At 34.2% G+C, this 27,889-nt stretch overlaps 1 protein-coding gene, 1 long non-coding RNA gene and 1 pseudogene across 24 annotated transcripts in view, besides 2 other annotated features; 2 read left to right on the top strand and 1 right to left on the bottom strand.

Annotated features, from left to right (window-relative positions):
* CEP290 (centrosomal protein 290) overlaps nucleotides 1-27,889 on the top strand; it is a 93,073-nt gene that overhangs the window by 59,701 nt on the left and 5,483 nt on the right. For 9 of the 22 annotated variants that reach the window (XM_017019983.3, XM_011538763.4, XM_011538762.4 and 6 more), the window contains 14 exons: nucleotides 1,993-2,206; nucleotides 3,159-3,296; nucleotides 4,470-4,691; nucleotides 5,044-5,166; nucleotides 10,462-10,607; nucleotides 10,939-11,094; nucleotides 13,743-13,866; nucleotides 14,342-14,350; nucleotides 18,273-18,407; nucleotides 19,610-19,696; nucleotides 21,394-21,558; nucleotides 22,368-22,490; nucleotides 23,368-23,540; nucleotides 26,671-26,812. In XM_017019983.3, coding sequence (XP_016875472.1) covers nucleotides 1,993-2,206; nucleotides 3,159-3,296; nucleotides 4,470-4,691; nucleotides 5,044-5,166; nucleotides 10,462-10,607; nucleotides 10,939-11,094; nucleotides 13,743-13,866; nucleotides 14,342-14,350; nucleotides 18,273-18,407; nucleotides 19,610-19,696; nucleotides 21,394-21,558; nucleotides 22,368-22,490; nucleotides 23,368-23,540; nucleotides 26,671-26,812 — 1,957 coding nt within the window. Of the gene's footprint in view, nucleotides 1-1,992; nucleotides 2,207-3,158; nucleotides 3,297-4,469; nucleotides 4,692-5,043; nucleotides 5,167-10,461; nucleotides 10,608-10,938; nucleotides 11,095-13,742; nucleotides 13,867-14,341; nucleotides 14,351-17,774; nucleotides 18,246-18,272; nucleotides 18,408-19,609; nucleotides 19,697-21,393; nucleotides 21,559-22,367; nucleotides 22,491-23,367; nucleotides 23,541-26,670; nucleotides 26,813-27,889 lie in introns of those variants that run through there. The other 13 variants (NM_025114.4, XM_047429561.1, XM_011538759.3 and 10 more) reach the window with 8 other exon arrangements.
* LOC124902977 (uncharacterized) lies at nucleotides 12-27,887 on the bottom strand. 2 transcript variants are annotated; one of them, XR_007063393.1, is made up of 3 exons: nucleotides 27,116-27,887; nucleotides 25,368-25,481; nucleotides 12-75 (listed from the first exon to the last, which is right to left on the bottom strand). It is a non-coding gene; the product is annotated as an uncharacterized LOC124902977 (long non-coding RNA). The 2 variants fall into 2 exon arrangements; XR_007063392.1 differs by lacking the exon at nucleotides 12-75 and having other exon boundaries at nucleotides 23,553-25,481.
* Nucleotides 18,701-18,760: an enhancer, noted in NCBI's record as "active region_6699". NCBI's record gives its function as "activates an Ori minimal core promoter by ATAC-STARR-seq in GM12878 lymphoblastoid cells {active_cell/tissue: GM12878}" and the evidence as "EXISTENCE:reporter gene assay evidence [ECO:0000049][PMID:35858748]".
* Nucleotides 19,549-19,749: a silencer, noted in NCBI's record as "peak1864 fragment used in MPRA reporter construct". NCBI's record gives its function as "represses an SCP1 promoter by STARR-seq MPRAs in K562 erythroleukemia cells {active_cell/tissue: K562}" and the evidence as "EXISTENCE:reporter gene assay evidence [ECO:0000049][PMID:32103011]".
* LOC100420011 (transmembrane protein 38A pseudogene) lies at nucleotides 23,812-24,588 on the top strand (annotated as a pseudogene).

The raw sequence follows: 27,889 nt of genomic DNA, 5'->3' as shown, positions 1-27,889 counted from the left end.
ATAATACTTACCCTGGCCCTTTCAGGGTGGTTATATGAAGGTCAAATTATACCGTGTATGAAAGTAATTTGAAAACTGTAAAATAACATACAGATAGAAAACTTTTGATTACACACTTATAAGAGTGTCTGTCATATAATAGAGATTCTAAACATTGTTCAACCACTTTATCAGAACGTAGATTTTAAACTCAAAATAGGTTTATAGTTAGGTAGTTTCTAATCATTATAATATTATCTCTATGGGCCTAAATTTTATTATCTGAAAAAACATGAGAAAATTGAACTGCTTGACTTATAATTCCATTTCAGCTCTCAAGCCCCTGCTAGAGTCTTTGATTCTTTACTCACTTATTCAAATGCCTCTGACAGAATTAACACTATTTTTGCTTTGCTAAGGAGCTGCCACTGTTAAGAAATTACTCTCTAAAAGAAAGAAAATTGGCAACAGCATATGTGTATTTTCAGTCTCTTTTCCTCACTCTATTAAATTTTGTACAAGAGATGTTATTTTTGGTCTAGTAAATTTCTGTCATGTTTTGGAGTATAAAATTACTTGTGCTTTTGCATCTAATTTGTGGGTGTAGAAAATCATAATCTTTTGAAATACCTTATATAATACATTTTTTTGCCACAGGAAATACTTGAAGTTATTGTTGTGTACCTTACGTCATTTTAGTCCAAAATTATACTTGTGTTCTCTGTGTGCATATTTTGATATGTATTAGGAGATTATGGATCTGTGTGATTTCTTAAGTAAATCCTGATATTTTCACAATTTGATGATGACTCTTTAAAGTTAGACTTAAGTTTTGCCAAAAGCAAGAAGCCTCAAAGAGTAACATTTGTTCATGTCTTAACACTATCTCCCTCTTATTGGTCAGAATCTCAGTATGGATGCAGTGTCCATATGCACAACAATATATTAATTCAGTTTAACAGACTTAATGCTGAATAAGCAATAAGATTAATTGAATTAACTAAATCTTTTGATAGTATCCACTTCCATATATATAGTTATAGATATAATGCTAGTGAATTTGAACCATAAACAAATTAATAATACATGTGATTTCTGTGAAAATTTATATTAGTCTTTTCAATATGTCAATATAGGGCAGTATTTCTCAAATATAGAGGATCAGTTTTTCACCATTGTCCCTCTTGGGGACATTTGGCGATGTCTGGAGACATTTTTGATTGTCATGGCTCGGGGGTGCTACTGGTATCCAGTGGGTAGAATCAAAAGATGCTGCTAAACATCCTATCATGCACAAGGCAGCCCCACCACCAACAAAGAATTATCCAGTCAAAAATGTTACTAGTAGTATGGTTAGGAAACTATCATATAGAGGAAGCAATCACATTTTACAAGAGCCATAATATTTAAAATGCCTTTTTGTTCATTCTCTGTATATTTGACTAGAGTCACAAAATAACTTGATAAGATTGTTGCCAAAAATATTAGAAACTAGAAGAAAAATGTGTTGTTAAGTCTAAGAGTAGTTAAATGAAATAAAGAATTATTCTTCTTTGGATTTGGATGCCTGCATCAAGATTTAGATTGTAAGGATACTTAGGACTGAACATTTGCTCTATATGAAATTTGTATTAATCAAGGTATGAATTGCAGCAACCACTCTATTAATTACATATGTTTGGCCAGGTGTGGTGGCTCACACCTGTAATCCCAGCAATTTGGGATGCCAAAGCGGGCTTATCACCTGAGGTCATGCGTTCAAACTGGCCTGGCCAACATGGTGAAACCCCATCTCTACTAAAAATACAAAAATTAGCTGGGCCTGATGGTGCACGCCCGTAGTCCCAGCTACTCAGGAAGTTGAGGCAAAAAAATCACTTGAATCTGGGAGGCAGAGGTTGCAGTCAGCCGAGATTGCGCTGCTGCACTCCAGCCTGGGTGACAGAGTGAGACTGGGTCTCAAAAAAATTAAAAATTAAAAAACACACACACACATATGTTTATTTACATCAGGCTTCAAGAAAACCATGAAGATGAAGTGAAAAAAGTAAAAGCGGAAGTAGAGGATTTAAAGTATCTTCTGGACCAGTCACAAAAGGAGTCACAGTGTTTAAAATCTGAACTTCAGGCTCAAAAAGAAGCAAATTCAAGAGCTCCAACAACTACAATGAGAAATCTAGTAGAACGGCTAAAGAGCCAATTAGCCTTGAAGGAGAAACAACAGAAAGTAAGTAACAACAGAAAATTATCAACATTTAGGAAAAATATGTGGTAGATTGCTTTTAGAGAAGATTTGTAAATTTATAAAAGATGGTAGTATAAATCTCCGTGTTGTAATAAAAAGTATGAGCTTTATCTTATGCTGTTAAACAAGGTATTTTAGACAATGCTGTTTTTGTGGGCAGATATAGTCCAATTTATCTTTTTATGTTTTCGTCAATCTGATTTGTGAATTATCTATATGAAGTTAGGAAAAATCTTAATGTACATTACAAAAATATAATATATATTACATTGTATTTTCTTTTTTTCTACTGGAATTTTATGCTACTGAGGCTATTTTTAACAAATGAACAATTTTGAACAATTTGAGGGATTGAGGGAAGTATGATAATGACAAAAAGGGATGAAAAAAGGGGGTCATAGAGATGTTTTTGTGAGAAGGAGTTGGTCAGTGTATTCTGATTTATTAGGGTTTTTTTTAGTTTATCTCAGATTTGATCTATTTAAATTGTTTTAGAAGATGCTGGTGTTTTTCTGTGCTAGCTATGAAATTTATGGGTAAACTTTAAGCCTTTCCTAGTCCTTTTGTTGTCTACCTAAATTCAATTAATTTCATATGGAAGGATGTAGTAAGTGAGTAATATAAATATCTAAAATTGGATGTTTGAAAACAAAACATACCTGTTTTTTGTAATAGCTTGATTTAATGCTGAGTTCTCAAAATCATTATTAAGATTTTGAACTTTCACATTCAATGTGGAAAGAATTGAGTGTAATTACAAAAGATTTATTTGAAAAAGTTGAGTTGTTAATTTGTGAAATATGTTCCATTAAACTCATAATATTTTAGAAAAATAGTAGGAAGTAATAAAGCTTGTTTATTTTTTATATCATATATTCATATAAAATGTCAGTTTTCCTTTAAAAATTACATTTTTTTTTTGGTTAATTTTTAGGCACTTAGTCGGGCACTTTTAGAACTCCGGGCAGAAATGACAGCAGCTGCTGAAGAACGTATTATTTCTGCAACTTCTCAAAAAGAGGCCCATCTCAATGTTCAACAAATCGTTGATCGACATACTAGAGAGCTAAAGGTGAACATCAACACGTGTTAATGTAACAAAATTTCTGATAATTCCTATTGGAAGAGAATTCACTATGATATATAGTAATTTTGTTGATGAATAGGGAATTTATAATGCACTGTTGGTGGCTAGACATAGACACACACATGCATTTTTCAACAATAAGTCTCTTTATGATACTCATTTACTGATTATCATCTTGGGGATTAGGAAAGGATAGGCCATTATGAACTACTGTTTCTAATGAAATTAAATTTAAGAAATATTTTACTTAGGATTTTTTTTAAGACTTTATTATTTTTTTAGAGCAATTTTAGGTTCACAGCAAAATTGAGAGGAAGGTACAGAGATTTCCTGTATATCTCCTACCCTGAAAGTGGTACATTTGTTAAAATTGATGAACCTATATTGATACATCATAATCACCCAAAGTCCAAGTTTACCTCTATTTTAGCTCTTGGTATTTTACACTCTGTGTGTTTAGACAAATGTATAATGATATGTATCCATCATTATAGTATTATACAGGGTATTTTCACTGCCCTAAAAATCTTCTGTGCCTCTCTTCTTCATTCCTTCCTCTGCACCTCACCAAACCCCTGGCAACCAGTGATCTTTTTACTGTCTCCATAGTTTCACCTTTTCCAGAATATGTTATAGATGGAAACATACAGTGTGTCCCCATCATTCTCACCATAGGACAGCTAGGAACTCCTTTCTAGTGGCATACATATTGTCTAGTATTGTAAGTTACCCTTTTATATCTTATCTTTGTAAACTAGGTTAGAAATTACTTCAAGTCAGAGATTTGTTCTGTACTACTCTTATGCTTCATAGTGTTTAAAACGTTGTCATATATATTGTTATATACTTGTTTGTTTAATTAATTCAGCCAAAATGAAACGTGCATATTTGATAAAATTTTGTTTGTGGGTGTTTGTTGAAGATGAATTGCTTTACACTAGTTTTTTTTTTTTTTCTCAAAGTCGACTTTTTTCCTCAAGGTAGACTTGACATGAATATGGAAAAATATATGTAGTTTGTGGTTATTTTTTTTCTCTTGTGTACTTAAAAATTCAGACTGAATTTTTCTTATAATGGTATATTTTCTGTTTTATGTTCCTTTTATCATTGATACTTCTTGAAGAGTCATGAATAATACCTTTCTTTTTCTCTTATTAGACACAAGTTGAAGATTTAAATGAAAATCTTTTAAAATTGAAAGAAGCACTTAAAACAAGTAAAAACAGAGAAAACTCACTAACTGATAATTTGAATGACTTAAATAATGAACTGCAAAAGAAACAAAAAGCCTATAATAAAATACTTAGAGAGAAAGAGGAAATTGATCAAGAGAATGATGAACTGAAAAGGCAAATTAAAAGACTAACCAGTGGATTACAGGTAATTTTATATTTAACTCTGATAATGTCTGATTTACAATATAGAGGTAGTAGTTTATTTCTACTTTATCATTTTATCTATGGTATTTGTTAAAACTGACTTTCAAATCACTTTGATTAATGTAATTAATTTCTTTTGTGACTTCTATTGTGTTTATAGTTCTAGAGTAGCATATTAGTATGTTGTATTAAAATGCAGAAGCAGCTACCAGATTATCTTATGTATTAAGTGTCATTTAGAAAGTATGGTCAGTGATAGCTTCAGAAAGTTGCTATTATATAATTGAAATATTTACTGTCTATTTTGTTTTACATTTATTTGTAAAAATATAAAGTTACATTTTATTTTTTAGGGCAAACCCCTGACAGATAATAAACAAAGTCTAATTGAAGAACTCCAAAGGAAAGTTAAAAAACTAGAGAACCAATTAGAGGGAAAGGTGGAGGAAGTAGACCTAAAACCTATGAAAGAAAAGGTATGTGAAGAAACATACTGACTTATATGCTTAAGGTAGTGACAGAGTAAGTTAAATACATAGCTGATTAACAGTTAATATACTGCCTTAATTTGATGACCTGGCTGTATTAATTCTGTATTAATTTTGAGGACTATAAGCAGTATTGAATAACGTAGAAAAGTCTAAGTTTCTGTTCTGTAGGAATTTAGAGTCTACTTGAGGAGATACCTATAATGTAACTCTTATTTGGAAATTACTACATCAATTTCATTCATCTTTCTGACATTAGAGTACCTCTGAAGTTCCTTCACACCTTAACATATTCAACTGTGTATCATTTCTCTCCAAAGTAATCATTTACACAGGTTGGTGCTTTTGACTTTTGGGACAGAAAGATAGACATTTTAAGATACCCCACTTTGACCCAAATAGGTCCTTTTTAATCCTTCAGGAGACTAGGCTGTTATTTCAGATAGCAAAGTTATTTGGAATATCTTCAGTATTTGCAGTAATAATCAGTAACCAATCTGCTCATAGATTAATTCTGTGGGAGAAATTGCTTAAAATTTTATAGTTCATAGTAAACTGTTTTGTAATAAAAATTACTGATTGAAATAACCCCAAAAAAAACTAAAATTGGCTAAAATGCGTGTAATTAAATTTGTTATGGACAATAAATTGGAGATAACTTGTTGGTAACATTCAAAATATCGAAAGTGAACTGGGAAATGTTGATGTTAGCAGTAATATTTGCCATTGAAGAAAATCAGTATGGAGGAGCTATGGTTAGGAAAATTTTTATTATAAAATTTACCCAGAAAATATTTAATGTCTATAAAATAATTTCAATCACATGAAAATGGAAAAGAAAATTCTGTCTTTAAAGGCATTGAATAGAAAATAGGTAATGGAATTCAAATTTCTTAATAGAGTATGCTCCCAAAATTATTTTCTATGAAAATTCATTAATGTCAGTGTAATTTATTGACACTATTTGCGTGGAGTCACAACATGCTTGCTGTCAGAAGCTTTGCTGGTGAAAACTGTAAGATCAAAGTGTCCTTAATCTTTTGGATTTCCATCTTTCTAACTCCCTAATTGGGGATAGGCCTGATCTTATCCCTAAATGGGGATAGGTTAGAAACTGGTATGTTTGTTCCTAACTGGTGTGTTTCTATACCAGTTTCTAACCTGATTCCTATCAGAATGTTTTAAGAGCCTTGTGGCTTTGCCTGGACTCTTCTATGCTACAGTTTATTTAGTTTATTTATTCAGTTTATTCCTCCTTAAAGTGGGAATAATACTATCTGTATTGCCAGTTTCTCAGGATTATTTTACATAAAATGATATGATATGCGGAAGTCTTTTGTAAGCCATCACATCCATAGCAGTATAAGATATTACTACTAACTAGAAAGAGAAAACAGGGGTCTATGCCCAGTATTAAAATTGGCATTCAGGAATCTAGTGAGAATATTTTTTCAGGTTCATTGCTTGGGCATTTCTAATTTATACTCAAGAAATGCTTTCATATTGTTTGGAAATTTTAGTACCCTTTTCTCTGTAAACAGAATTTGTAGTCTACCTATGTAACAAAACCCACCCCTGTGCCTTGCATTTCATTCTCCTTAGCATTTATTACTATCTTAACATACTAGACATGTACTTGTCTTTTGTTCATCTTTTTTTTTTCTTTTTTTATTAGACCATAAACTTTGATGGCAGGAACTTTGCCTATTTTATTTATTATTGTATTCCCAGCACCTAGAACAATCGCTGGCACATAGTAGATGCTCAGTATTTGTTGAATGAATATAAATTTTTAAATGTTATAATAATATTATTCTGAAATCTATGCATACGAAGCTTTTGGTACAGAAAACATGAAAAGAGAACTACTGCCTTATCATCCAGTCTTCTTCCCTCTTCTCATTCAGTCTAGAACATAACCTGTTTTGGAAAAAGTTCTCAAACCATATGTTTATCTTGCCCTCAAACCATAACAACAATCAATGCAAAAGACTTCTGTGACCCCCAGAATATGTGGGGATTTCTCCACATCAGCAAGCAAGCAGTTGGTTTTGTAGCAGACACCAACTGGGTGTCGTCCAATTCAATTCATCATCTACCTGGAGATAGTGTCAGATCCCACAGATATCTTACTTCGATCAAATCACAAGTCCAGGCCTCCGTGACTTCCGAAGTTCCCACATCCCCAGCCCCCAGCTTTGGGTTTGATTAATTTCCTGGAGTGGCTCACAGAACTCAGGGAAACATTTACTTACATTTACCAGTTTATAATAAAGGTTATTACAAAGGATACAGGTTAAGAGATGTGTAAGAAGAGATATGGGGGAAGGGGTGTGGACCTTCCATGCCTTTCTGGGGTGCCACCTTCCTCTAGAAACCTCCACATGTTCAGTTCTCCAGAACCTCTCTGAACCCAGTCCTCTTGGTTTTTAGGGAAGCTTCATGACATCAGTATTTCTTCTCCTAGGGTATGGGGCAGGACCCCCTCGTATTAGGGTTTTAAGACCCACAGTCAGAAAGGCAGGGGAAGATTACAGTCCTGCCTTAGGGCAGGTGAAAGGAGGATGGGAGAAGGTCAGAGAGACTCTTTTCTGAGGTGTGCTCGGAAGGCCTAACACACTCAATATTATAACTAAAGATGAGGACAAGGGCTATGAGAGTTATAAGCCAGGAACCATGGAAAAAAGCCTATATGTAATAACACCACAATACCCATGGTACCATTCACGTTTGTTGTTTTTCTGTTTTTCAATTGTTCTTTCAGTCTTGGTTCCCTTAATCTTAATTTAGCAAGTAATGCCAGGTGGGATAAAATTGCCCAAACCCAACAAAGTACTGTGTGCTGCAGGATTATTTAATGACATACCTTATGTCCCCCACTAGTATTTACATTTCTGGGAGTACAGAAAAATTCTTGTACATATTTCAGAAAAAATGAAATTAATAACTATCAACCACTTAGTGAAGTTTTTACTTTTTTTTTTGAGATGGAGTTTTATTCTTGTCACCCAGGCTGGAGTGCAATGGCGCAATCTCAGCTCACTGCAACCTCCGCCTCCTGGGTTCAAGTGATTCTCCTGCATCAACCTCCCAAGTAGCTGGGATTACAGGTGCCTGGCACCACGACTGGCTAATTTTTGAATTTTTAGTAAAGATGGGGTTTCACCATGTTGGCCAGGCTAGTCTCAAACTCCTGACCTCAGGTGATCTGCCCGCCTTGGCCCCCCAAAGTGCTGGATTACAGGTATGAGCCACCACACCCAGACTGAAGTTTTTACATTTTTTAAAGGGCACTTATTAGCTGAATTAAATAAGGTAAAAAATTGACTAGTATTAGAGACAAGAATTGGAGAATATAGTTCTCTAGTATTCGAGAAAGTCGTTTTGATAGGACAACTAATCTTAGTGAGAATTTGGCTTTATTTCATATTTTTTTAATTTTTTGAGATGACGTCTTACTATGTTGCCCTGGCTGGTCTTTGAACTCTGGGCTCAAACAATCTTCCTGCCTCGGCCTCCCAAAGTGCTGAGATTATAAGCATGAGCCATCTCCCCAGGAATTTGACTTTAAACCATGGTTCTCAACCCTTTCAGATTCAACATTCCCTTTAATAAAAAATATAATGTTTCATAATTTCCCCTTTACTATTATAATTGAAATGCATAGTTAACATAAACTCTACCTACTTACATAATTTCAAAAATGTCATTATGAATGTCCTAAATGAAATATATAGGGGGAACATAAAAGGAATATTCATATTTCAACATGTAAATGCTTTGGCATGACTCCATTGGAAAATATAATGAACTAGTCATGTGCTTGCACCTTCATTAATGTGAGTTCAAAGCTACGATTGCAGACTGACACAAATGTGTTCTATTGGCAACTGATGGGTCATGATGGTATTGCCATTTGTAATTTGATTTCCAAAATGGTAAACAAATTGTTGGTGCAGTTCTCAGCAAAACAATGTCTATAATCTTACCTTTTATAAGACTGTTGTATTCCTAGAAAACTTAGTGTATAGTAAAACCATTAAAAAATTACTTAGTGTGAATATGTTAGTTGGAGATAAATTCTTAGCTCAGACCAGTGTAAGCAGAATTTTTTACTGTATTAATATCCAGTAGAACATTTGAAAGTTGTTCAGTGCATGAGACTATTCTGCATTGGATAGGCTTTCTTTGGCTCCTTTATCATAGTTATAATAAACCATGACACCTACCCCTGAAATGCCCTAATTCCCTTCCGTTTCTTTTTCTTTTTTCTTTTTAGCACTTAAAACTAGCTAACTTACTACAAAATAGATTTAGATTTATTTCTTGTTTTGTTATCTGTATCGTTTGCTCCCTTCTCCCCAATCTATCTAACCAACTAGTATAAACTAGATAGTAAGATTCATGAAGATACACTTTTTTATCTGATTTTATTCATTTGTTCTATTCCTATTGCCTCTAGAGTAGTACTTGGCACATGGTTAGCACTAAATAAGTACCTGTCAAATGAGTGAAGTAATGTGCATTGAAGACTTGAAGGGGCTCTGATGCTAGGAAATTGTCATGGGATAATAGATGAGGTTGGTCGTTTGTACAGAGGATTCTTGTTAGAAGCTTACTCTAGTCATGATTGTATTAGAATCTTCATTTAAAGGCTCCTGAAGGGTGTTGGCATTAGTCAGAACTGTCTCCCAGAATTTTATTTGTCTTGTGATAGAATAAAGCATAGTTAGCCTAAAGAGCAGTTTTCCTAATAGCTCGGCATGCCCAAAGATTCTAGGAGTTATACAGGTTGAACATCTAATCCAAAAATCTGAAATGCTCCAAGATACAAAATTTTTTGAGCACCAATATGATGCCACAAGTGGAAAATTCTGATGTGACCTCATATGATGAGTCACAGTCAAAACACAGTCAAAACTTTGTTTCATGTACAAAATTATTAAAAAATATTGTATAATACTACCTCCAAGCTATGTGTAGAAGGTGTATGTGAAACATAAGTGAATTTTGTGTTTGGACTTGGGACCCATCCCTAAGATATCTCATTATGTATATGCAAATATTCCAAAAATATTTTTTAAAAAAATCCAAATTCTAAAACACGGCTGGTTCCAAGCGTTTCGTAAGGGATACTCAACCTGTATAGCAAAATGAACATATTTACATATTCTCTAGGAAATATTAGTTTACAATTTTTCTAGGCAAATTATAATTGATAAATCATAAAGAAAATTTAAAATAACACTGGTAATTTTCCTACCTCCTTCGTTATTGTTACAGAATGCTAAAGAAGAATTAATTAGGTGGGAAGAAGGTAAAAAGTGGCAAGCCAAAATAGAAGGAATTCGAAACAAGTTAAAAGAGAAAGAGGGGGAAGTCTTTACTTTAACAAAGCAGTTGAATACTTTGAAGGATCTTTTTGCCAAGTGAGTTTAAATATCATTATAAAACTAATTATGTGTAAAATCCTTTAGTGACCTGGAAATTATATAGCTTTATCATAGTTGATAATATGAGAAATGGTCTAGTTTAAATGATCATTTATTATCTATGATTTACTTACTTTTTATTTTCTTTAAAATCTGTTTTAAATATATTGTAACAATTATAGATGGATTTTCCTGTGATCTCGTTGTAAATTAGCTTATGACAAATATAGGGTGTTACAATTATTGTAATTTGGTTTGGTAATGAGTATGCAATTGAAAAGCCAAACACTGAATGGTATATTTCATGATTCTATATTAAATTCCACAGAGCCGATAAAGAGAAACTTACTTTGCAGAGGAAACTAAAAACAACTGGCATGACTGTTGATCAGGTTTTGGGAATACGAGCTTTGGAGTCAGAAAAAGAATTGGAAGAATTAAAAAAGAGAAATCTTGACTTAGAAAATGATATATTGTATATGAGGTAAGCTATTATGTGGAAATGTGCCACCCATTGTAATGAAAAACTGGTTGACCCCTAGAAATTGAAATAATAAATGTGTGTTGTCTTAAGCTTGGGTTATGTTTTCTTTTCCCATGTGAATTGAGATATTCCTGGTTCTTCATATGCCACATAATTTTGGTGTATTTTTGATCTTTTGAATATTATATTGTGAGACTCTGGTTCTTGTTTAAATTCTATGGGAAAATGTAGATACTTTTGTTTTAGCATGCAATCGGTCTAATTAGGTTCAGGCCACAAGTTCCAACCTCATTTCTTGGGCTGTGGTTCCATTTTTCAAAGCCTTTTCAATACTCTTCAGATCTGTCCTGCCTGTGTACCTCACAATAGGTGATCTGGTATGTGAGCTATGTACCATTAGTTCAGTTCTTAGAAACTTTGGTATTCTGATTAGGATCGATCCATACATTTGCAGCTCAAGAGTGAGCCCAGAAGTTCATAAACAACTTTATAGGGTCCCTTTCTTGAGCTCCTCCCTCTTTGCCATCTCTCTGATACTTTGTTTCCCTAGGGATTTCCATTTGGGGCTTTAGTTACCCAGTGATGCCATGTACTTCAGGAATTGCACACTTCTGCAGCCAAGCAAGCAAGAGGAGAGTAGAAAGAGGAAGAAAAAAACGACTTTTACCTTACCCTCTTAGTATCATAGCTCTACCAATTGGAGATTTCCCTCCCAAAAAATATTAGCTTCTGTGAGTTCCCATTGCAGCCTCTATTACCACTGCTATGGGATGGCTTAAGGGTTGGGGCATGAAAGAACAGATAGAAGAAAAAAAAAGTGAGGTGTTTTCATATTGTCTCTTGAGTGTTAAAAGATTCCCTTTCTCTTTACTCGAGCTAGAATTAGAAGGTTTACCTGGAGCTCTCTCTGTCAGTGCAGACACCCATCTTCAGGTTTCAAATAATGTTGTCTTCAGGGCAGGCAGTAACAGAATAAAAGAAAAGGTAAATTCATCACCTGTTTGCTGCTACTTTAAGTCCTGGTATTCTATTGTAATCTGCCTTCTACTCCTTTGCAAAGTCCTCAAATGGTTGCTCCATGCATTTAGGAGAGAGAAGATTGAATGTATTTACTCCATTGTACCTGGAACCAGATGCCCTTGCCCTGCATCACCCCATGTCATTTCTTAGCAGAGCCTTTGAGATTTTTGTGTGTGTGTGCTTTACAATCTCTTTCCAAGTTATATCTTCTGATACAGTCATGGTCGTGAAAAGCAAAATAAAATCATGTGTTAACATTTAAAACTTTTTAATTTTATTCTGACAACAGCTAAAACTATTTAATCTTCTGTTTCGCTCATTTCTTCCAAGGTAAACTTCAGTTGGTTTTACGTGATTTGCTATTTCTTCTTCTTTGCATTTACAAATGATCTGTGATCATATTACTGATCTTTGTAAAGGGCTAATATCTACCTGCAACATTTGGATATGACAGTATTTACCCTTTGTAAATACACATTTTCTATTTATCTTCAAAAATTACCATTCATTAGTCTGTGTTAATGTCTGTTTACTATTGTGTCATTATGAATGTGATGTGAACATACGAAGTTGAACTTATTTAAACGAACACTCTCATGAGCTTCTAATCCACATTCCTTCCTTTTCCTTCTAAGTTACCATTTCTTAAAAATCTTTTAGAAGTTTCCTTGATAGGGAAAACACAAATTATTGAGGAATTTTTCTTTCTCTTGACATCTGTTTATAGTTACTCTCTTGTTCCAGCAGTGGATATTTCCCCTCCATGTTTTTCTTTGTCTAAACATATGTTCAAAACAAAACACTTTTATTCTTCTTTGCAGGTTTTACAAGGATCAACTTTTAGTTTTGAAACCTGCTATTACTTTTAGAGGCCATTTTTTTTTTCTCTAATAATGTGAGTTCATGCGGGCTGAAGTAATTGGAATACTTTATAGAAAAGATTGAATTTGTCTTCTCTCTGAACTCTAGTTTGAATTTCTAAATTTTATGAATCATCTAGATATTAAAGAGGAGGGGCATATCAAAGAGGAGAACCCTAGCAGAGATAAGAGGCAAGAGTAAATGTTTCATGTATGGGTAAGAGTGGATTTGTATTTACCTAAGTAAAGGTAGACCCTGGACAATAAGGTTGGATAGATGTGGAGGTGGCAAACCATGGAGGGTCTTGTAGGTCAAGTGGATGTTTTTAGACTTGAAGTGTTAAATTATTATCTGAAATCATTAAGAGTCTTTTTAGATCCTTGAGCTTCTTGAGAAGACCATGGATATTATGCAGTTATTATATAATGTTTTAAAATAGTAAGTATTTTAGTTTAACTGTCTTATGTAATTCCATATAAATGGATGCATGTTCTTTAAAAATGTTAATGTATTTCAGTAAATCAAAATATACTTTTTGACTCATCATTTAAAGGAGGCCTTCAGTGAATGCTCTGTAGAGGATTATTTTATAATACTAATTTTGATATCCTAATTTATTTGTTATAAAGTTTAGAAGGTTTGAAGAATTTAAAATATAGTGTTAATAAACACACTGAACTTTTCTTTTTTTATCTTGTATTTTTATATAGTACAACAGAAAAAAGATGAAATGTGAATAGTAAAGAGTCTGTGATTGTTGTTCATAGGGCCCACCAAGCTCTTCCTCGAGATTCTGTTGTAGAAGATTTACATTTACAAAATAGATACCTCCAAGAAAAACTTCATGCTTTAGAAAAACAGTTTTCAAAGGATACATATTCTAAGCCTTCAGTAAGTGTATATCTTTTATTATTTTTTTCTTTTTTCCATGTTAAAATGCATGAAAGTGAAATCAACTTCTTTCTTAATCTGGCCAAAAGCATTACATCTTTCTCATTAATAGTAATACAGTAAATTCAACTTTTATTTTTAACAGGTAGTGATGTGTAATAATTTATTTAATCCTTTTTAACATAATAACAGTAAACTTAAGATTCTTAAGCTTTTCATAAAGCTCATAAATGATTTCTAGAAATTTTAAATATGTAGTTATCATTATGTATTTTGCTGTAGCAGCAGTATACAGTTAAATAAAATAGGAAAACATGTTCCAAGACTGTTTTCATTCAAATATTTATGCTATATTTTTAGCTTATAAAAACTCATTAATCATTAATGTAAAATTATTTGTTGGATTTTTTAAATATTTAGTGTATTATTTTTGTTTCTTTTTTCTTTCCATGTTTCTTCATTCTTCCACCTTAAGCAGAATCAGGTGTGTGACACAACTATGTTTTCTATCCTTGTTACCATTATTAATAAATACAAGGGCATGATATTTTTCACAAAAGAAACACTTTGTTCAGAACCAAAAAAGATCATGGCAACAGTCAGAATTAAAAATGGTAAAAGACTAGGTGCCAAAGATGACTTACATAATTGGGTACCTAGAAATATTCTATGGTATTACAGTAATGATGAAAAATACAAATTAGAACACATTTTAGATCCTATTGAGTTAAATAAATCAGAGTCAAGACCAAACAATAAATAAAGTCAATTTACGTCAACAAATGGTAAGTTGGCAGATTTTAACTCCCTTTTTGAAAATGAACCATGATCCTAAGGTTGGTAAAATTAATCAAGAATGTTGTCAAAATGATAAAGATAAAAATGAGGAAGAGAATAAGATAGGCAAGAGTGAGAAAGGAAAGAGACACATAGCTGAAAATGTGAGTCACAACAACTACATAGATCCGTAGAATCTGCTATGGAGGACTGTGATTATGTGACAGTTGCTGATGCCGTGGCTTAGTGAGCTGAGGGTGATGCACAGGCAGGCGATGTAACTGATGCGTCAGTCCAGCCAAGAAAGGACGCGTCCCTGGTTTGGCTACGTGGCCGTCCTTTATTTCTTTGTTAACTGAATTTTCTTATAGTAAGTAGCTTACGTACATATATAGTGCAAATGGGAAAGTGTGTAAGATTTAGAAAAAGCATTAACTATTAGTAAACTTTATCTTAAGCTCTAACTTTTGATTAGTTCCTACAAAAATTAGTGAATATGCATTTTCTAATTTAGTGCTTTTTTTTTTTTTACAATTGGTGTTCACTTAATGTTATATTAGATAAATGAATAGCAAAAATAAGGTACTTTAGAGTTGATTGTTTTGCCTTACAAACTTCTAATCCATCCAGCTGTATTTAGAAGTAAGATCTCACTACAGCGAATTATATCAGTAAAATTTTGTTACAGTGTTGTGCAGTGTCCTAAGATGTATACTAAGTTCCTTCAGTGGCTTTTTTTGCCATGTTTTATAACAGATAATTTTGTTATAATGAGAAAAGGAAACTTGGATGTGTTGCTGTCTATATTGTGTTAGGCTCAGGCAGGATGCTGTGGCTTACTCATTTAATCACTTTGGGAGGCAGGGGCAGGAAGATTGCTTGAGGCCAAGAGTTTGAGATCAGCTTGGGCAGCATAGCCAGACCCTGTCTCTACAAAAAATTTAGACAGATGTGGTGGAACACATTTGTAGTCCTAGCTATTAGGGAGGCTGTGGTGGGAGGATCATTTGAGCCCAGGAGTTTGATGTTACATTGCCCTATTGCACTCCAGACTGGGCAACAGAGTGAGACCTGTCTCTAAAATAATAATAATGATAATGATAAATGGTGTTAGGCTCTGTGCCTAAGTATATTTTTCACATAGGCTGGGTAAAGTGGCTCATGCCTGCAATCCCAGCACTTTGGGAGGCCAAGGCAGCAGGAGCATTTGAGGCCAGGAGTCAAAGACCAGCCTTGAGAGACCCCATCTCTACCAGAAAAAAAAAAAAAAAGAAACAATTAGCTGGGTGTGATTGTGCACACCTGTAGTCCTAGCTACTCGGGAGGCAGAGGTGGGCAGATCACTTGAGCCCAGGAGTTTGAGGTTATAGTGAGCTAAGATTGTGCCACTGCACTCCAGACTGGGCAACAGAGCAAGACTGTCTCAAACAAAAACAAACAAACAAAAAGCACTTTGCAGAATATCAGTCTAACTCTACAGTTTATGGACTTTTTATGTACGTACTACTTTTGGCTAGCTTACATTGAGATACAGAATAAAAGTTTGTTCATAGCATTTATCGTTTTTTTCTTTATACTGTCCACCTGAGATATTCCAGTCACCTAAGTCATGGAAACATCAACTAAAATTAAATATCTATGTTAAGAGAAAATGGCTGAAAGTGATTTAATTCATAACACTTTTTTTCACATGCTAATAAATAAGAGTTTGAGACTTCCACTAGGCATTATCTCTAACTCCTATCCACTAAGAATTTGATTTTAAGTAGTTGATGGCTTTTAACCGGATTATTCTTCTGTAAGAGTTTGGAAGTCTCGTGAAGTTCGTTATACAAGAATTCTGTTTACAAGAGAGCATTACATTAGAATTTGTTTTTCAGAAATTTGGACTATCTCAACGAATACCTTTAGTTTTATTATTTCAAAATGCAAGGGAAAAAATGAGCCATAATCACTAATAGTAACTGCATCATATTTTAGTGAGAAATGTGTTAAAAATATCCTCATGTGAGATCTTCCTTAGATAGAATTACCCTCTACTCTAATATTTAATATATTTTATATCTACCAATCAGTGATATTAATAGGTGTTTATCATTTGCTGAATCAAATAGGTACAACAGAAGACAGGAAGTTTGGGAGATAGAAGAGCTCAGGGACAGGAAATCACAGATGTCCATATCTGAAATAACCTTAAAAGTTATCCTGTCTAATGCCTTCACTTATAAACTGTAGTGGTAGAATTTGCCTAGTATTAACCTAATAGTGGTAGATTTGAATGTATACTTGGGCTTTCTTATTAAGTGGAAATGTATTCCTGTGATTTACATATATCAACAAAAATGTTTGTCTTCTTTTTTTTGCTACGACATATGTGCATGTGCACACACATCTCCTCAAACAAAAATCAGATGGACACATGCAGTCATTGGATCTAAAAGATGTTATAAAGTTGTGTATAATAGGTATTTTATAATAATATATTTTAAGACCCATAATGTCGGTGGAGTAACTGACTTTACAGCCCATCAAGCCAATAGAGAGAGAAAGGAGAAAAAAATGAAAGTTGTGCTGAATAATTAAAAAAAATTATTTCCTATGATGCTTATAACAGTCCTATGAGGTAGGTGGTATTCTAATTTATAGAAAAAATGCATAGAAAAATATAATTAAGCACAGTTAAAAAAAATAAAGTTTAGAATGAGAAGTAACAACATAAATAATGACCCAATGTAGATTCAGGTCAAAAGAAATGAAAATATAATATTAATGGTTTTCAAAGAGGGAACCATTACTTTAGCTCAAAGAATGAAGGAGGGCTTTCCGAAGGAGTAAAGAATTATGGCAGTTCTTTTGTAGCCTAGTGTATTCATTTGCTAAGGTGGCTGTAACAGACTACTACAGATTTGGTGGCTTAAACAATAGAAATTTATGGTCTTAGTTCTGGAGACCTAGAAGTCCAAAATCAAGACATCAGCAGGGTTGATTTCCTCTGCACAATCAGAGGGAAAGATCTTTCCCAATCCTCTCTCCTTGGCTTATAAATGTCCATGTTTTCCCTGTTTCTTTTTATCATCTTCCTTCTGTACATGTCTCTGTGTCTAAATCCCCAAATTTTCTCTTTTCATAAGGATACCAGTCACAGTCGAATAGGGTTTACCCTGAAATCTCATTTTAACTTGAATACCTCTGTAAAGACCCAGTCTCCAAATAAAGTCACATTCTGAGGTACTGGAAATTATGACTTTAATATATAAATGTGGAGGGTAAGGGGAACACAGTTCAACCCATAACGGTTAGATAACAATCGTGCTTTATTTTGGACTAGTAAAACCACCATAGATCAGTTTAACCATTATGAAATTATACATGAAGGCATTATATGTATGGACATTATTAAGTCATACTTGCTTTGCTTCCATTGTAATTAAAACAAACCATACTACCTTTGTTCTGCAAGTTTTGTATTCTAACTTATTTATTTTTGGCTTTCACCAGAACACTCCGATTTTCTCATATTCCTTTGAGGAAAAAAAGTTACCTTTTGACAGTATTTTCTTATCCAGTATGTCTTTTATGGCTTTTATTTATTAAACTTTAAAAATATTCCTAATTTCATTTCCCTGAAGATTTCAGGAATAGAGTCAGATGATCATTGTCAGAGAGAACAGGAGCTTCAGAAGGAAAACTTGAAGTTGTCATCTGAAAATATTGAACTGAAATTTCAGCTTGAACAAGCAAATAAAGATTTGCCAAGATTAAAGGTGAATTTAATGTTTTTTATTAGGAAATCTAATGCCTAAAACTCCTTCCTTAGTTGTTATGTTTACTTTTATTAGCTTATTAAGAAGTCAAAAATGCATATTCCTAATATATCATGGTGATGGTATACTTTATACATTTGCTCTTTAGCATTTATTTGTTGAAGGCCTACTTTATATTAAACACTCCTCCAGATGCTGGGAAACAGCAGTCAAAAAATTCCTTATACTCATAGGACTTACGTTCTAGTGGAGAAGACTGACAATAAACAAGTCACTAAATAGTATGTCATCTGATGTTAGTGCTAAGGAGAGAAATAAAGCATGATTGGTGTAAAGAGTATGGGGAGAGAGAAGGGGTGTAACTGAAAATAGAGTAGTAAGGGAGGTCTTCCTTAATAAGATGATATATGAACAGAGAGCTAAGGAGGGGTAAAGGAAGTGAGTCATACAGATACTAGAAAAATAATTACAGACAACAGAAATAGCAAGTTCAGATGTCCTAAGGTGGGAGGATGCGTGGTATATTTCATTAAAAATTATCACACTGTAAAATATAAGAATAATTTGTTTCTTTTAGAAATTTTACTTTATTCTGATATTAATAATGATTTTTTAATCTTTGGTTTTCCAAGTCTTACCCTATTTATGGGAATCTTTTTTTTCTTTTGGCTAGCTAATTGCTTCAGTTTTGTTTTCTAATCTAGAATGTTAGCAATCTGTTAATTCCACTGGTAATGATATAGTTAAGCTATGTCTTGCTTCTCACACTTTATTTATTTATTTACTCAGGGCACTAATCTGCCATTTTTTCGCACTTTTTTTCCTTTTTTTTTTTTTTGGTACTGCTTCTTATTCTGGTTTTTACATTGATAGAACCAATGTTAGACGTTCATTTGCCTTTTGCTGTGTATATTTGGGTAAGGATCTATATGTGCAATATATGGGACAGTTAAAATCAGAATTCTAAATTTGTATTATTGCATCAGGCAATAATGTGGGAAATACCTTGACATTTCATATACACAATATTCTTGTATTAATTTAACGTCTTAGTTCAAAATCTTCCTTGTTAATATAGAGACCCTATTATTTGGTTTGGCAATACAGTTGAAGAGATTGATGGTTCTTATGAATTGTTTGCCTTTTCTTTTCAATGGCTGTAGCTATGTTAAATTATTACATGTTTGCTTGTTATCTTTCAGAATCAAGTCAGAGATTTGAAGGAAATGTGTGAATTTCTTAAGAAAGAAAAAGCAGAAGTTCAGCGGAAACTTGGCCATGTTAGAGGGGTATGTGAGAATTTACCATACATTTGTTTTGGTTTCAGCAGTGATAAGCCAGAAATGAAAAGTTTAGATATGTTGTAAAAGTACTGATATGCCTCTACAAGTGCCCTGTAGTTTCAGTGTTTATTCTGCATCTGTAATATAAAACAGTAAGCATTTCTATGTGTCTCAAAGTATTTTATCATCTGTTATACCTTACATACTTTCATCTCTCTTTTTATTGAATATGCCTCCATACCTTGAAAACATTTAACTTCCAGGAATCCTTTTGTTTATGGAGGTAACTGCTAACTGGTCCTTGGTCCAATGCTGCCATTTTGTAACCATTTGTTATGATATCTTCCCAGCTTGGTATAATGTTTTATAATTACATTGTTCCTCCCCCTCTTTTTTTGTGTTCTTGTAATTTTCTCCCTATGTTATTTTGTATTCATTTTATATAATGAATAAATGTTGCTTATGAGGTCAAGGCCAAAGACTTAAGCTCCTGTTGATTTCATGTTGCTGAGTGTCATAAATGGAAGCAATCATAATGCAGAGTCATTCTGGTAGTAATATTAAATATATGATGGATTCAGTGAAAATATTATGTGTTATTAGAAAAATATTCAGAACAGGCCGGGGGCAGTGGCTCACACCTGTAATCCCAGCAATTTGGGAGGCCGAGGCGGGCAGATCACTGGAAGTCAGGAGTTCAAGACCAGCCTGGCCGACATGGTGAAACCCCATCTCTACTAAAAATATGAAAATTAGCTGGGCATGGTGGCTCATGCCTGTAATCCTAGCTACTCAGGAGGTTGAGGCAGGAGAATTGCTTGAACCTGGCAGGCGGAGGTTACAGTGAGCCATGGTCACACAACTGTACTCCAGCCTGGGCGACAGAGCGAGACTCCATCTTTTAAAACAAAAAAAAAAAAGGAAAAATATTCAGAACAGTATCTTGCTGGCAGCAACATTTGTTTCATCAATGAAAATATGTGTTAATTTGACCTTTTCTATCTAAGTTAATTATGAAAGTGCATACTAAAATGATGTAAAAGTTTATATTTCAGGATTATTCTTATTCATGGATGATTAACTAAAATGCAAAAAGAAATTAAGCATACTGTTTGGCTAAACTGTTAAAAATTATTTTTATTTTAAATGATAAGCAGTTAAACTTATTAAGTGATGACTCATCTCTGCTGATATATTTATGCAAGGTTTTTTATTTCAGATAACTCTTCTATTTATATTAAACAGAAACTGTATTTCTAAGCAATAGCATTTCTTAGAGAAAATTGCCTCTATTATGTTGCAATTAAAATTTAATTACTCATGAGCTCTTTAAAGACACAATTTCTCTTGTGTGGTTTTATTTCATATAAAGAAAAACTCTGATATACTGGAGAGAACATTAGCTAAATAGACTATTTAGACTTAATCATTTTGATCAGACATCAAGGCTAGACTATTTAAGCTGTTACTTATTAGCTGCATGATTTTAGGAATGTCAAATTTCCTAAGTCTTGGTTTTCTTGTATTTAAAATGGAAATTATAATTCCTATCTCATAGAATTGTTTTAAGGATGAATTGAATTAATACAGTTTTGACTTCAAATATTAGGAATTATTGAGTATAATAAGCCTGTTGTATTGTTGGTACTTCGTATTATACTTACTAAAATATTTGATTAAAGATTTAACATATTCTTTCGTAGTCTGGTAGAAGTGGAAAGACAATCCCAGAACTGGAAAAAACCATTGGTTTAATGAAAAAAGTAGTTGAAAAAGTCCAGAGAGAAAATGAACAGTTGAAAAAAGCATCAGGAATATTGACTAGTGAAAAAATGGCTAATATTGAGCAGGAAAATGAAAAATTGAAGGTAATTTTTTTTAATGTGATCATTTTTAGGGGAATATTTTACGTTTTGTTACTATTTAGGAAAATTTCAAATATGCTCATTACTATATAAAATGGCTTTAATGAATACAATACATATTTTATAAATATAGAAAAAAACTTATGAGAGGCAAGGCTAAGGGTTATAGAGTAGGTCTACCTGATCTTTCTTGTTATTTCAAGACCAATACTTTTCACTTTTCTCTCTGACAGCATAGATTAATTACCTGTGTCTCTCTTTTTTTTTTCTTTTGAGATGGAGTACTGCTTTGTCACCCAGGCTGGAATGCAGTGGTGCAATCTTGACTCACTGCAAGCTCTGCCTCCCGGGTTCATGCCATTCTCCTGCCTCAGCCTCCCCCAGTAGCTGGGACTACAGGTGCCCACCACCACGCCTGGCTAACTTTTCGTATTTTTAGTAGAGATGGGGTTTCACCATGTTAACCAGGACTGTCTCGATCTCCTGACCTCGTGATCCGCCCACTGCGGCCTCTGTGTCTCTTTGTGAAAATACAGATGCCCAAGCTCCCATCCCTGAAATTGATTTAATTATTTTAGGGTGGGTCCTGACACAGATATGTATGTTGTTGTTATTTTAAGTCATCAATTTATTCTAATATGTAGCCAACGTTGGGAACTTCGTTCTCACTAATATTCAAATGAAGACTTTAATTCTAATCATATCAAATATGGTTTCTAAAACTACTTTGAAGATTTATGAGTTTATAAGATTATCTTTTATTTCCTTGTTTTGATAATGTATACTTTTTATTTTGTTTGTTTTTTTACTAGGCTGAATTAGAAAAACTTAAAGCTCATCTTGGGCATCAGTTGAGCATGCACTATGAATCCAAGACCAAAGGCACAGAAAAAATTATTGCTGAAAATGAAAGGCTTCGTAAAGAACTTAAAAAAGTATGACTTTTATGACTGATTATAACTTTTGATTTTTATTTTACTTAATACCTCTTGGAAAAACTGGAAGTAGATCCTTGATGAGAGTGTCTGTAAAGGTAGATATTAAGAGATTGAGGAATTGTGTTTCTATGCCTGCTGTCATCACATTCCACCATGAAAAACATTGATAATAAAAGTTAATACATTTAGGCTGGGCACGGTGGCTCACGCCTGTAATCCCAGCACTTTGGGAGGCCAAGGCGGGTGGATCACGAGGTCAGGAGATCGAGACCATCCTGGCTAACACGGTGAAACCCCGTCTCTACTAAAAATACAAAAAATTAGCCGGGCGTGGTGGCGGGCGCCTGTAGTCCCAGCTACTCGGGAAGCTGAGGCAGGAGAATCGCTTGAACCCGGGAGGCAGAGGTTGCAGTGAGCCGAGATCGCACCACTACACTCCAGCCTGGGCAACAGAGCGAGACTCCATCTCAAACAAACAAAAAAAAGAAATGATCTACGTTGCTTACACATACCTTATGCTTATAGCTAGGTCTCGTAAGCATTAGGAAGTCAAAACAAAGAATCTTTTACATGTGTAAAGGTATAAACTATCCCATTTTTCTAAAAATATAGAGGAACAAAGTGTCAAATTTAAAGTAATCACTAGTAACTAAATATATTCCTCTGACCTCATTTTCGTGATCTGTTGTTCTAATTATTATTGGCCATATTGCTGCTTTAAAGGAGAGATGTTGAATTTGTTGAAATTTTAATCAGCATTTAGAGCCCCAGGTTATTTTTGTTTTCCAATTTGTAATGATAATTTTGAATACACTGAATCTATGAGAACAGTATTATGTTTTCTCATAAAATACTAATTAGCATTTAATGATAGGAAACTGATGCTGCAGAGAAATTACGGATAGCAAAGAATAATTTAGAGATATTAAATGAGAAGATGACAGTTCAACTAGAAGAGACTGGTAAGAGATTGCAGTTTGCAGAAAGCAGAGGTCCACAGCTTGAAGGTGCTGACAGTAAGAGCTGGAAATCCATTGTGGTTACAAGGTAGGAACAGAGTTTTAAACTTGTACAAAGTTTAATCATTTCAAATTTTGGCATTGTTTTAAAAGACAACACTATTCTGGATAACCTGGTTTCTTCCTGATGAACAGTTTGTTTGGTTGTTGTTTTAACATAATACTTTTTTTCTGTTGTAGTATTGTTGGAGACTTTTTCTTCCTTGAAATGTTTAACTTGTTTAACCTTGTTTGGGTGGCAGGGCATGGAACAGTGTAGAGCTGGGGCTGGGCGAAGGAGTTGGAGCTGTGTGTGCGTCATGAAGCTGTCATCAGCTATGAGCCTGGGCTGAGGCTGCTCAGCTTCTCCTGGGTGCTATTTTTCTCCAACTGCAGCTTCAGCTTCTTGATTGTATAATTTGCTTCCTCAAGTATGAGCCAGGAATAATTGAGCTGTCTTGTCACAATGTGTGGCATACTGGATCTAGGCTGTGCTGCAATGCTTTTAGAGTTATATCCTGGGCAACTTTCTCTTCAGATAGCCCCAAGAGATGAATTCAGCACCAGCTTTGATGTTTTACTAGCTTCTGCTTTCTGGTACTTGATTTTCTCCCACCCCGAACACATGGGATTCCAACCTGTGAAACTAATTTTTGTGGCTATGAAAGAGGTAGTGGTAGTTTATGAGTAAACATTCAGTCTGTTGCCACTATCATCATGTGTGGTTCATCATGACTGTGATGAGTAGGTAAAAGGCTCTTTGTGTCATTCTCATTTCCAATTTTAAGCAGCTGCTTCAAGGAGTCTGGAAGTCATTGACCAGTGGGATCCTGCCTGTGTCTTTTCCCATTAAAGCCATCCTGTATGAAGTGGTATCCTTTACCATCTAGCACATCTGCCGCCCCCATTTCAAAAGGCATACTCATCTTTATCTCAACATTCTCATACAGTTCCTTATGTCCATGCACCTCCAATGTCCCCTTTGATGTCTTTGAGGTTTTCATCTTCCATGTCTGCTATTTGGAATGGTCTTGATGGGAGGCAAGATAGTGATCACTACAACTAGGATGGGAGTCTTAGTACCGTGAGGCTACAGCAAGTCCCACAGAGGGCCTGCTGCACTGTACTTGCCTCTGTCAACCAAGTCTAAGGAGAAAGATTAAGCAGGCATATTAAAGGACAGCCCAGATGGACATGAAGTCCTGGAGGAGGCCTTGGTTCCTGTCCTAATACTAAACCTAGAGTACCCAGAATCCACACTTCTCCACTCTAGCTCTCACTTTTCCCATCTACACACTGGGAAAAATTATTCTGTCAGAAAGCCAGTGTCAAGGTGAGAACAAATAACAAATGTGATGATATGGAGTGGGAGAAGGGGTCTCTTCTACTGTCTTATTGGACCCTAGCAGTGGCTCTGAGCCAGCAGTCCTGTCAGTTGATTTCTTGGTCGTTCCTTTGTTTTCTTCTATAATCACATGTGGACTCAGAATGAATTTTGAGTTACTCTGAAATCTATTTATTCAACAGATATTTACTTAGTACCTCCTATTGCCAGACTCTGCTTTATGTTGGATATTATTTTTTAAAAGCCCACCTTGCCTAGATTTCCTCAAAGGACCAGGTGGCTTCCCTGGTTTTGAAAGACCCTAATTCTTACTATGATCTTAAGTAAATTATATCCTTTCTGTGGGCTCAAGTTCTTTCTAAGAGGGCTCTTTGGGGCTACAAAAGAAATTGTTAGTGCAAAAAGAGTTTATAAGGTTTATAAATGGTTAGTAGAGGTGATGATGATATTTAACCATAATTGAAGATGACTTTGCATTTTAGATCATATACGTGTTTTTCGTCTGAGAACGATACAGGTCACTGAGCATACCATAAGCCTTCAGTAAATCATTTGCAGAAGACATTGCAGAAGACATAAGTCTAAGTAGAAATCTCTTGACAGAGAGAAGGCTCGTTTTGATCCTTGACCTCAAATTTAGGTTCCCTAAATCCATTAAAAAAGAGAAAGAAAAAGAAAAAAAGTTACTAAAGTTTAAATCTGGGAGGATTATATACCCTTCTCAATAAAGCAGTTTAGAGAGATCTCTTTTGGGACCCATGACACAGGTCTTGCTCATGCTGACATCTTTATAGTTGCTTTATTATTTATTCAACAAACTTAGTAACACGTATTCTATGTCAGGCCTTTTCCTGACTACTGGGACAAACCAGGGTGATGTGGGGGCTGTTTTAGATAGGGTGATCAGAGGAGGCCTCTCTGTTTGGGTGGCTTTTGAATAGAAAATTAGATGAAGTGAAGGAGTAAGCTTCTGATATTTCACTGTTTACTTGTGGTAGATCTGTGATAATCTCTGTCAGGTTAAAAACATTCCCTTCTAATCTAAGTTTCTAAGATCTATCAAAAGCTGTTTGAATATATTTAGACAATCATAATTTTCCTTTCTTGTATTATCCTAGCAGATTTTGTTGCCAAAGCTATACTGGCCATTTTAACTTAGAATGCAGTCTTTCTATTCATTTCTCTGGAAAAGTTTGGATATTGTAAGCATTATTTTTCTTTAGGTATGATGAACCTGCAGAACTGTTTGGTTCAATTATGAATTTTTTTTTTCTGGAGTCTGTATTTTTTTGAACTATTAATCATTTCTTTAATGATTATAAATCTATTCAGATTTTTACAAGCTTTATCCCTCTCCCATCATACACTATTTTTCTTACCCATGCTTTTGCACAATTTTTTCCTCTCCCTTAGTGTTTTCCTACCTAGATACCTCCTATGTGTGTCTGTGTATGTGAGAAAAGCTTTTTATTTGCCATCTTTATATTTCTAAGAATATCTAGTAATACAGAATTTTATATTCTGAAGAATTTTACTTTGCATTTTCTTATTTTGTGATTGAAAAAAGGTATTAATTTTAAAATGGTCAAATCAGGCTCCATCCTTGGAAAATACCCAAATCCTTTATTTTGATTGGGCCATCTGTTAATTAGGGATACCTTATCTCTTGCCACCACTTTTTAATGCTAAATAAATATGTAGCTAAAACTTTGACTAGAAGAAACAGTAAAATAAGATATTCTTGCTTATTTTTAGTACAGTTATTTGAACTGACTTTTAAATCAGTGACATAAATTATTTGCCATGTCTATACTTTTTTTCCTTATACTTTTAGAATGTATGAAACCAAGTTAAAAGAATTGGAAACTGATATTGCCAAAAAAAATCAAAGCATTACTGACCTTAAACAGCTTGTAAAAGAAGCAACAGAGAGAGAACAAAAAGTTAACAAATACAATGAAGACCTTGAACAACAGGTAAGTAACGTAATTTTTCTTTACATGATAAAATAATGCATAATATCGCAAGATGTTCCTTGCATTGTCTTATATAGATAAAAATGGACTCTATTAAGAAGACCCATCTAACTGAAGGGCACCCCATTCACCCATTTGCTTAAGCCAGAAACTTTGGATCATCAACGACTTCATTCTTTTCATTCTCCACATTTTCTATCATTAAATCATGTCAGCTCTATTTTCAAACTATATCCTAAATATGACCACTTCTTGGTATCTTGAGACATCACTACCAGTCTTGTCCAAGCTATTGTTTTATACCTGAATAACTGCAATAATTTCCAAGCTGGTATCTCAGCTTCCACTCTTGGATTATTTCACCCTATTTCTATTTCTGGGCTGTCTCCACACAGTTGCCAGGTAACCCTTTTAAAACATAAAGCACATCACAAAGCACAAAGTCCTATCCTCAGAATCTTCCAGTGGTTCTCCATCACCCTAAAATAAAACTTAAAAGTTCTTTTCATATCCCAAAACAACATATGAGGTCTGGCACCCAGTTTTCTTCCCAATCTCATCTTCTACTACTTTTCCCTTCATTTCATTCACAATGTTTTAACCACAGTAACCTTCTTTCAGTACTTTAAACAATCCAAACTCGTTTAAGCGTCAAGTCCTTATACTTGTTTCCTTTGTTTAGAATACTGTTCACCCAAATATTCTCATAGCTTGCTCCCAGACTTCATGTCTCTGCTGAAATAGAGGCTCCTTAGAGAGACCTTCCCTAACCCTAACCCTAACCCTATACTACTTGCCATCACTCTTTATCCTCTTACCCTGGATTATTTTTTCTTGATAGCTCTTCCTACCATCTGGCACTATATTACATCATATCATATTAAACACACATTCTTTGTGCTTCCCCACTAAACAAGGACCATGCAAGATGGAACATTGCCATTTTGTTCACTGCTGTTAGCCTCTGTGCCTAGGACAATGCCAGTTATGCAGTAGTTACTCAATACTTGTTGAATGAATGGTGAATAGAACATAGAAATTTGCCTATGCGTGCTTTTGAAAACCATATTTTAATAT

The sequence above is a fragment of the Homo sapiens genome, chromosome 12 (genome assembly GCF_000001405.40).
Source record: "Homo sapiens chromosome 12, GRCh38.p14 Primary Assembly".
In the NCBI taxonomy this organism is placed as follows: Eukaryota; Metazoa; Chordata; class Mammalia; order Primates; family Hominidae; genus Homo; species Homo sapiens.
Note: the sequence above shows the minus strand (reverse complement) of the source record. Positions and strands in the feature narration are given on the sequence as shown.